At 35.9% G+C, this 11,403-nt stretch overlaps 1 annotated feature.

Annotated features, from left to right (window-relative positions):
• Window positions 712–1,911: an enhancer, noted in NCBI's record as "P300/CBP strongly-dependent group 1 enhancer chr4:28922847-28924046 (GRCh37/hg19 assembly coordinates)". NCBI's record gives its function as "activates an origin of replication core promoter dependent on BRD2, BRD4, P300/CBP, MED14 and CDK7 cofactors, with strong dependence on P300/CBP, by STARR-seq in HCT116 cells {active_cell/tissue: HCT116}" and the evidence as "EXISTENCE:reporter gene assay evidence [ECO:0000049][PMID:35650434]".

The following is an 11,403-nucleotide window of genomic DNA, read 5'->3' on the forward strand; positions in this document are numbered from 1 at the left end:
ATGTGGATTGTGTTATGAGACGCAATTGATTTTTAATCATTGCAGTGCATATAATCAATTTCTGCTTTAAAAAGATCAGTGGTCAGGCATGGTGGCTCACGCCTGTAATTCTAGCACTTTGGGAGGCCAAGGCAGGTGTATTGCCTGAGTTCAGGAGTTCAAGACTAGCCTGGGCAACACAGTGAAACCTCATCTCTACTAAAATACAAAAAAGTAGCCGGGTGTGTCAGCATGTGCCTGTAATTCCACCTACTCAGGAGGCTGAGACAGAAGAATTGCTTGAACCTGGGAGGCAGAGGTTGCATTGAGCCGAGATTGCATCATTGCACTCCAGCCTGGGCTACAGAGTAAGACTCCATCTCAAAAAAAAAAAAAAAAAAAACAGAGTGATAGCCGTATAAATAGCTAATAGCATATAAATAGCACGGCTCAGCAAGGAAAGATAGAAAAGATGGGTAGGGAAAAATAATTATTTTCTGTATAGCAAGCGACTTTGGGTGTCTGGAATAACAAGGGTTTTGTAGAATAAATATAAGAAAGGAGGGTCCAGTTGGAACTATGAAACATCCTTAATTCTATGTTACGGGATTCGGGTTTTATTCTCTATGCACTAAGGAGTCATCTTTGAAAAGCAGAAATGTGCCATGACTCTAACAGTTCTGAAGAGGGATTTATTTATTTATTAGTGAAAATGAGCAGAAAGCACTAGTGTAAAGGGAAATTAGAGATAGTCAGTGGAGAAGCCCATATTAGAAAAAAAAAAAATGTCTCGGGATTCTAAGGCCAGCAGACATGGAATGGACAGAGAAGCATCAAGAGACACGGAAGTAGAACTAGCAGAATGTTCCATAAACCAAACTCTGTCACATGAATACATTTATCTGCAAGGGAGGCTGGTGAATCTTGTCTTTGTCTTCATTGTTATGGATTTAACTATAATGTGGATTTATTAATAAGAGTTACCCAGAGAAACAGAGCCAATAAAACATTTATATCTATATTTCTATCCAGATAGAGAAAGGGAGACAGAGAGAGAGATTATCAGGGTGAGGAAGTCCCACAGCCCACCTTTTGCAAACTGGTGATCTAGGAAAGCTGGTGCTAAAATTCAGTCCAAGTCCAAAGGCCTAAGAACTAGGAGATCTAATGTGTGAATACGAGTCAGGGCAAAGATGAGATGAGGTGTTCCAGCTCCAGAACGCAGGCAGGAAGCAAAAAAGAGTGAATTCCTCTTCCCTCTGCCTTTTTTTTCTATTTTTGCCCCAAGGAACTGGATGATGCTCGCCTGCATTGAAGGAGAAAAACGTACTTTACTGGGTCCACCAATTCAAATCTCATCTGGAAACCTTCCCACAGATACGTACAGAATTACTGTTTAATATGGGCGCTCCATGACCAGTAAAGCTGATGCATAAAATTAACCATCACCGTAGGGTTTATTTTATTAAGGAGAAAGAAAAAAAGTAATGAAAGACAATTGGCATTCCTGGTCACAATTAGTAATAAATGTGCATACACCTACGTGTGCTTGTGGTTTTGTCAAAGGCACATTCCTCAGTCTTGGGGATCATGACAAATAAAAGAAGAGGGTGGAGAAGAAGGGGAAAGAGGGTTAGCAACCTTGATTATTCTGGTATTAGGAAACTGAGCTGCAATGCACTTGGTATGAGGGGAATTCGAGCTGCTTTACTTCATTTCTTGACCTGTGTGTATGTGCCCTTTTTGCTATGCAGAGTAAGGACCCAATATGGTGTACACGTTCTATATAGAGAGACTGTCTCCTCATATCAATTGTCTCTCTCCATCTCTGAATTCTCTATGGATTTTGATTCCAAAGCTTAATTGGCATTGGGAAGACCTTACTTCTCAATTCCACCTCCTCCTTGCCCCCATTAAAAATTTTCCCACTTTCTCTGATGCTTTCCTATAATCATTAGATTTTTCGACTAAAAACAATCTTTATATTTTGCCCAACTCTGTATTCCCTAGCTGCCTCCTTTAGATGTGATATTTAAATACCTCTTTATTTGAAAGTTAAGGAAGAGATAAACTTAACACACTTTTAAAAGAAAAAAATTGAAATCTCAAATATAAAGTGCATTGCATCAGTTTTTAGGTAAGAGTCTGAAAATCTTCAAGGAATTCAGAAAAATTTTGCTATGGACCACAGTAATAATCCTTAGGTGATCCATCTGTAAATGACACTACCAGAATTGGAAATTTACAAGCAATCTATTTGCCATTACTGACTAGTTATTATTCTTCTCTAAAGATAAATGTGCTGATTTAAGTATGAGGAGAACTCTAACCTCCTTGGCTTAATAAATACTTTGGTTGTCAGAAAATCCCTGCCTCATTAGCAGAGTAAAATTTTACTGTGCCAAGAATTCCCTAGGTCTCTCTGGCTGAATAGAACACTCTAACTTCAGACTTTTTTCTTCGATAAAACAAAACAAAACAAAACAAAAAAAGAAACTGCTGTGACTGTACAAAGGCTTGCAAGCCTTGATGTCTCTCTTGGATACCTAGACTTCATGGTAATAGTTCTCTGGAAATAACAAGACAAAAGTGATAGTGGGTCAGAGCCTCTAAGACAGAAGTGGGTGGTGTCCTGGAATGAGAAACTAGTACCCTATGGATTCCCTTGTTCCATGGGGACTACTTGAATGTCTGGTAAAGATACATTAAGACTACTTTGGCCTAGATTTGCTTTACTAGAGACTTCTTTTTTTTTCTCCATCTCCCCTCTCTTTCTCCCTCTTTTCTCTCATACACACATGCAATACTCTGTTCTTCTTTATGTACTTTTCTTCTGGAAGTATATATCCATGTTACTTGGTTTTATTTCCTCCTTGTGAAGTTATTATAAATACCTGTTTTTCTTTGCTTTTTGCAGAATGAATTCGTGGTCATTTTCAGAACTACGAAGGCATAAATGTAAGCCTTAAAGTAACGGAGCATTTGCCAATAATCTTGTCTAGCACTGTGACTCTGAAGGCTGAACTCTTAACCACCACAATATGAATTTATATAATCAATCATTCATTGGTATTAAGAGTATTTTCAGGATGATCCCCCAAGGAGGGAAAGATTTATTCCAATATGCTGGAAAACCTATTTTTAATAAATGTGAAGTTTACCCTGAGTGTTTTGTGTATACACAAATAACTATTCTGTGTAATAATACATATGTATTAAGGATAAAAGAATGAGCAGGGTTTCCTATTTTGCCTAACATTTTTGTTTCTCACAAATATAAATGTCATAGAATTATGCTTGCTTTTTTTTTAAGTGGGGGAAAAGTAAATTACACAGTTCATATTCTATAAACCTGGCTCATGCTCCTACTCTCATTCTTTCTACTTCCTCTAACCTTGATCACAATAGCTCTCCCTCTTTAAGATTAGGGATTTGTGTTATAATTATTTACAATTCTCCCTTAGGATTTGTAACACATGGGCTCACAGATATAAGTAACTGAATTAGAGAGATCATTGGCTTCAGACACAGGAAACCTGATTTGATTTCTACTTAGGCACTAGCTTGGTAACATAAGGCTTAACGTATCTGAGTTACTTGTCTCCGTTTGTGTCTACAAAATGGAGCAAATAGTATTGAAGTTAATGGGATTTTTATTACACCCTGAGATAAAGTATTTGGAAGTACATTGTAATTACTTATTATAAATATGCTGTAATTTGTTATAAGTACATGTTTGCTAAATATCTTCAGAATTCAATAAATTACTTTATTATGCAGAAAAAAGAATAAGGGGCAAAATCTCCAAAAATGAGTCATGATTAAAAGTAGTGACTTGGAAGACCAATGTAGACAAGGTTGCTTAAAAAATAACTAGTGTCGGCAGAGCACTGTGGCTCACGCCTGTAATCCCAGCACTTTGGGAGGCCAAGGCAGGCGGATCACAAGGTCAGGAGATGGAGACCATCCTGGCTAACACGGTGAAACCCGGTCTCTACTAAAAATACAAAAAATTAGCTGGACATGGTGGCGGGCACCTGTAGTCCCAGCTACTCGGGAGGCTGAGGCAGGAGAATGGCGTGAATCCAGGAGGCAGAGCTTGAAGTGAGCAGAGATGGCGCCACTGCACTCCAGCCTGGGGGTCAGAGCGAGACTCCGTCTCAAAACAAACAAACAAACAAAACAAAAAACTAGATTATATGCCTTGACAGAACAGTGAATCTGACCGTCTATACTATTCTATCTGCAAACCCAGACACACAGAAGCTGCTCATTAAATACTTGATAAAAAAATATATATGGTTTGTGGGATTATCGGGAAACTGTTAGTAAAGAGGAAATCGTCTAGTGACTGAAGGACGAGTAGAATGTGGAAAAGAGAACAGAGAGGGAAAAAGTGTCATGTTAAAGAAGCAGAAACACAACTTTTTTTCTGATTGGTTAGAACATAGATTAGTTTGGTGGAAGAATGGTGGAAGATAAAAACCAAAAGAATAAAAGGAGTAGATTACAAAGGACCTTGAATGGCAGCTAAATGATCAAGATCTTCATCCAGAAGCTGATGATATCTAGTATAAACATTTACTATGTGCAACACACTATTCTAAGCATTATGCTTGCTTGTTTTACCCACATATAACCCTGGCAACCACTCTAAAAGAAATGGCTGTTAACTATGTTTCTTATGTTTTAAATGGAAAAAAAAAAGTGTGATTCATGGAACCTAAGTAGCTTAGCAAGAGTCATGAACCTGGTTAGTGATGGAACTGGCATTTGAACCAGGAAGTCTGGTTTCAGGTGCACTCTCTTTAAAGCTACGTTAATTTCTCTGTAGAATAGCTAGCTGTTTAATTCTAAATGTAGTGCATAAGAGAATTCTGTTCCAGTTACTTTCTGCTGCACAACAAACTATCTCAAAGCTTAGTGGCATAAAATAAAAACGCTTCTTATTTCTTGTAACTGGGTGGTTGACCAAACAGTCCTCTATCAGATGATGTTGACTGTGGCTCTGATATTAATGGAAGGTGTATAATGGTCTCGTGCATGGTCAGAGTTGGCTGCTGGCTGGAAGCTCTGCTGGGCCACTGGGCCTGGGGCCTTGCGGGCTTATCTATGTGGCTGTTTGGGCCTCACAGCATAGCATCTGGATGCCAAGAAGTATTCTAAACAAAAAGAGAGAAAACATTGCCAGTTCTCTGAAAGTCTGGAAGACAGAAGTAAAGTTCATGTTTTCACAGGGAAATGACATGCACCCACAGGGAGGAAAACTACTGATCATAGCCCTCTTTGGAGGTTGTTTACTTCACATCCCAATTAAGTTATAAGAAAGATGTAGCTATTCATTGCCCTCTGAATCATCGAAATTTGTGATTGTCATTTATCAAATAGAAAATATCTGCCATGAAGCTTGAGCAGCTCTGTGTAGCCTGTCTTTCAGAAGGGGCTTCAACTAGCATTGTGTACTTTAGCAAAGACTGTTATTTGAGCAACTGATTTTGATTTCACATAAAATAGAATATACATATGATGGCCCCATAATAGTGACATGATTATTATAGTGGTTCACAAAGGTATTTCTAAACACTTTCTATTCCTTGCCAGTTTGTCTTTGCCCCTGAAAGGTCTGTGATGCTGTTATTTAATGCATTTGACAGTGGATTATAGTAGAATTAAATGCTGGTGGAAAACAAAGTTCTCTTAATGGCTCTGAATAATCTAAATGTAGAAATTATTCTAGTTCAATGGAGGGTAAAATTATAGGATGTTGAATTCTATCCAACAAGATGAATTGGGAAGATAAGATATGGAGATTAAGTGCAGATTACTGTACAGACTTGTTCTGTAACAAAAGGAAGAAAATTATGCAGGGAGGGTGGAAAAGAAAGAATGCTCAAACACTGAAAAGGGGATTCCAGTTCATTAACTACAGGGCTCTCATGGACTGCACAGATTTTGTGACAGTATAGTAAAGAAAAATAGTTATAAAGACTCCTCCTGTTCAGTGATAAAATTCCTAAATATTGAAAAGAGTTTTGCAACTGTGGATGAATGGCCATTGCTGAATAAAGCTAAAGTGATGACGTGCCAGCTCCCTTCATCTGCTGTGAATGTTTTTAAAGGGAAGTGGCAGACTTAGTATGTGTATTTTTTAAAGCATAATAGATGATTCAAAATCTGATCATGTTTTCTATAGTCAATATCCATAGCTACTAAAGCATTATCATATTTTAATGTTCCTTATTAATAACAATCAGAACTTAACCTCAAAATCCATTGTTTATTGATTATTTACATGTTCAATAATGCTTTCTTGAATAGCTACACAATCACCACACCGTGCTAGGCACTGTTTATGCAAAAGTGAATTAAGTAAGTTTTGTGTCCCCAACAGGTTGCTCTATCTAGTCAAGGATATAAATATGTGAAACATATTATAACACTATCCACTTAATACAGTATTTGGGACATGTGTGGACCACTTTGGGAACACAAGGTTAGTAGCTTTCTGGATTACATGCTTCAGGGAAGATTTCACCGAGGAGATGAAATGTGAAGTGTAATGAGTATTAGAGAAAGGTGCCAAAACATGTTTAAAGGCATGGAAGGCAGAGAAGCATTGTGGATTTGAAATGATATTGAGAGTAGAAGGACATAGGAAAGAAGGATGGAAATGAAACTGGAAGTGTTGGCAGGAATTATATGATAAAGCATCCAACATGTCAAACTCTAGGTGTTTTAAAGATCTTTTCATGAGTGATGGGCAGTGTAGTAGACTAGCAGATGTGGAAGGTTAGGTTATACTGCCACAAAAAACAACACACCAATCTCATCCAGCTCATTGCAAATGCTGCTAATTCATTCCTTTTTATGACTGAGTAGTATTCCATTATATATATATATGTGTGTGTGTGTGTGTGTGTATATATATATATATATCTCTCACAGTGAAGTAACTCAGGAATGGAAAACCAAACATCGTATGTTCTCACTGATATGTGGGAGCTCATCTGTGAGGACACAAAGGCATAAGAATGATACAATGGATTTTGGGGACTTGAGGGGAAGAGTGGGAGGGGAGCAAGGAATAAAAGATGACATATATGGTGCAGTATATAAGTATATACTGCTCGGGTGATGGATCCAACAAGATCTCACAAATCACCACTAAAGAACTTACTCCTGTAGCCAAATACCGCCTGCACCCCAATAACTTATGGAAAAATAAAATTAAATAAATAAACACTCTATTTTCAGTGCCTATAATCACAAGTCAAGTGTTACTTCTCCTATTGCAAAATACATCCAATAGAGCCATTTGCTACCCTGGTTCATTACTCAGGCTTGTGAAACAACATCTATCTGGCTCAGTGTTAATTATCATGGTGGCAGTGTTTCTTAATACTCTTATCTAGAAATGGCACATGACTCTTTTGCTCACATTTAATTGGCCAAACCATGTCATGTGGTCATTACTGATTTCCTGAAGGAAAGGGCACCATGGCAAGGTAAATAACATGTTTTATGAGTAGTTATACAATCTATCACAGAGACTTAATGATTATTCACATTTTAAAGAGAAAAATTGATATAATTAATTAGATTTCTAGTATTTCAAAATTACTTTGGAGTTCAGAAGGCAGGTATTGAATAGTCAGAGTGTATTGCTCTTCATGGTGAGAGAATCTGACACTATCATTTCAATGGGAAAAAGAGAAAGAAAAAATGTCTTATTTGAGGTAGCAAATATTGAAAACTTAATGAATGACTGAATACAGGGTAAAGAGGGTGATGGCAAAAGCAAAATCTGCAGTGCCTTCAATGTATCTGGTGCAGGTGTCAGGGCTGATGGTGGAACCATTGCTTGTATAAGGGAATGCATATTTTCTGTTCTTGCTTCAGACATGAGATCAACACATTCCTTGAACCAGTAACATCTCTAAGTTGGTAGTTTAGCTTTAATTACTGTGAAAATATTTTAATTTATATATTATATATTATTAAATTTTTAAAAACTGCAATACTTTCTCCCAATTTCTCATTTTATTCTTTTTTCACGAATCAGAATTAAAAATTTATAAATATCCAAAGAATTTCCAGAAAAAAGTTCACATGAAAACAATAGTTACCACATATTATGTACCCTATAGTGTTATTTCCTTTTTCTTTCTTTTCTCTTCTCACCTGTTATTCCTTTTCTTTTTCCTTCCTTTCTCATCTTCCTTATTTCATTATATATATTTTATATATATATTTATTTGTATAAAGATAATGTGGTAAAAAGCATCTTAGGAATTGGATATGCCTGGTTTTCTGTAATTGTTTTGCTACAAACAAATATTACAAATAATGTTAACATTGCAATGCTGTGAGCATTAAATGGAATAATACATTATGACTGACATATAATAGATAATAAGTTTGAGCATAGTGTTCAGTAAGCCTATCTGTGTCCTGTAAGTATAGTAGACCAACAATAACTAGTGTTAATAAATTAAGGAGAATATGTGAGGATAAAGCACTTCTTCTTGGTTAGTTTGGCTATTTCTTAGATATATTGGAAGTATGGAATTCAACTTATAGGTCATCATAGGTGAACAACTCCGCACTAGATGACTCCCCAAGACTTAAGTAATCACAATAGTTTTACAGCCATTTATTTGACAATAGAAGAAAAATTTATGGGACCAAGCACATGTCAATTACTGAAAAAAAAAATTCAAATATGTAAGTTACATCTTTCATTCAAAATGCAAACACTCCAACTTCATATCATTTCTAATGCTGCACTATTCTAAGTGATAACCAATGTTCAAAATGATCATTAGAAAGTATTCCTGATATGCTGAATCACTAAGAAAATACACTTAGTCTTTCTAATTACAATTGTCCTTAGGCAGAAATCTAGAATTGTACTTTATTTTCAGCTACAAGGTTTGGTACAAAATAAATGTTGTTTTCCCACATTTATCTTGACAATGAGGAGTATTAGCACTCTGCTTTGCCCTGTGGCTTGATCGTTCCAGGTAATAGAAGCTGTATGGAATTTCCATTGTTTCAAATGGAAGCAGAGGCATCATTAGACTCAAAACATTGCAGTGTCTTTTTGAGCAAGTTATTATCCTTAGTCATTACGTCCTTGTCCATCTCCTTTCAAAAAAAGGAAGAAGAAAGAGATATTATTTGGCAAAAGTATACTAAATCGTTCAATCTGATTAAGAAAAAACAAAACAAAACAAAAAATCTGCTTTGAGTCATTTGTTAAACCATCTCCATTTTCTTCCCCCTCGCTCGCCCCCAACCACGGCACAGCTATATTTTCTTTATGTTCTATTCCAGTGGAACGAGCTGATCCAGACATATTTAATGAGGCAAAATGTATTCTTCAGGCTACCCAAATTTGCAGCTGAATAGCTTATTCTGCAGCAGAGACAAGATCTGTCAACCTTGTATGCCCTGAAATATACAGAAGGCCACAGATAATTTCTACAGGATTGACCCCCCAGGGAAGTGAATAGATAAATTTCTGTTTTAGCCGGTCCAAAATACATTATTAAAAATTGGATATTCCCAGATCTTTTTCGACCCTTTAAAAAATCCCAACTAATACATTGTGTTATTTTGACTATAATTGTAGTTGTTATTCATTTTGGCAACATCTTACAGAGTTAGGGGTGTACAAGGAACTCCAAGCTGAAACTTTTTTCACTACATTCTTCTAAGAAAGTGAAATTATTCCATAACATTCCAACTCTTCTTCTGGGCTTAGGTCAAAGATGTGTCATTATCATGTTGATTATAAGAAACAATGAAAAAACACGATGAGGGTAATTTTAGGTATTGGAAATGTGATAACAATGTACTTGAGAAAACAACCTGGTTTCAGGTTTATTCTTTTTCAATGACGTTATAATATGTCCAGATATAGTTTTGTTTTAGTTTGAATCATCTCCTATAGTTTAATTATATATATATAATATAGAATTTCATATATATGAAATCCTAGAGGTTTCGTGTTTAAGTAAAATTAGTATTTGGTTAGGAACAGAAATTATGTTATTAATTTACTTCATTATTCAATATAAGGCTCTATTTCATCATCCAAGAAATACTATGTACATACTTTTTCACAAGGACTTTTCTTTAAGGCATATTTTCACTGTGTTTCACTTAGTATTAGACAAGTACCTACCAATCTGAGAAAAAAATACACATAAAACAAAGACAAAAGTGAAAACTAAAAATCCCCAAAGTGCATCATGTTTTGCCCAAATAAATCATTCTCTCCAGGCCTATTTCCAAGGATCCAGCTTGTCTCCACCCCTGTGTGTGAATACGCAGCCATTCATTAGTGTAGAATCATACGAGTTCTTTAAGATGTGTCTATTGAAAGATTTAGGGCAAATTTTCTCTACCAGTTCCTGAAAGTAAACAAGAATTTCATAAATCTGGAATGATTTAGGGTTAGACAACTCTTAATGACACCCTCTTGATTTAAGGTTCTCATCGTCTATAACAAAAAAGTCAGTCACCCTTCTTAGCCTTATCAATTTTCAAAGACTGTTTTGAAGGATAGATGAGCTATCTAAACTGAAAATTTCGCTGATTTAGTGAAACATCTTTTGTACTACATCATCCCTTCCTTTTATTTTTGCAGTTTGCAAACAGACTTCCCTAGCCAATAAACTTTTGCTTCCCATCTGCCCAGAGAACACATACTGTGACTCCAAAAACACTGCTAAGAAAAGTTCAGCGTTCCAAGTAGTGAGCATTATTTACACCCACATATGTAGCTGATTCACAAATGATAAAAATATTAGTATATATATTTCAGATTATTAAATAATTTTTTTTAGATTATTACTAGCATACTAAACATCTGTATATTTCAAATTCATGTATTTAAGTATGTGTGCCTATGTTTAAACAAACACATTCAGAGTAAATCTCCCTAGTGACTTCAATAATTCATCAAACTATGCATGTTGGCTTTTAATATACCTTCCCTATTTAATGCCCCCCAACCCCTTAAAAACAAAACAAAACAAAACCACAAACTAAAATCAAACCCCCACAAAACAAAAACCAAATTAAACAAGTGAAAGTCCTTAAGTTGTGCTTGAATCCATGTGATACTTTTTCTGCAAATATTGGACTTGAAGATTTATAATTCTGCATTTATAGTGAAGTCCCATTTAGAATAAGGGGAGCATGAGTATAGTGGCCATAGGAAAATTTTTTTAAAAATGTAGATCAACCTAGTTTCCCTTTCTGCCTGCACACCGAGTGTGATGTTCAGTGAAACCACCTTTGTTCCAGAAAAATTCATAGCCTACAATATGATCACCCTGATAAGTTTGTGTTTGGCAATGATATTTCACCAAAGAAAATCTCTCAGCTTGTCCATAAAGTCAGAGGCTTGGATTT

Source organism: Homo sapiens, chromosome 4 (assembly GCF_000001405.40).
Source record: "Homo sapiens chromosome 4, GRCh38.p14 Primary Assembly".
In the NCBI taxonomy this organism is placed as follows: Eukaryota; Metazoa; Chordata; class Mammalia; order Primates; family Hominidae; genus Homo; species Homo sapiens.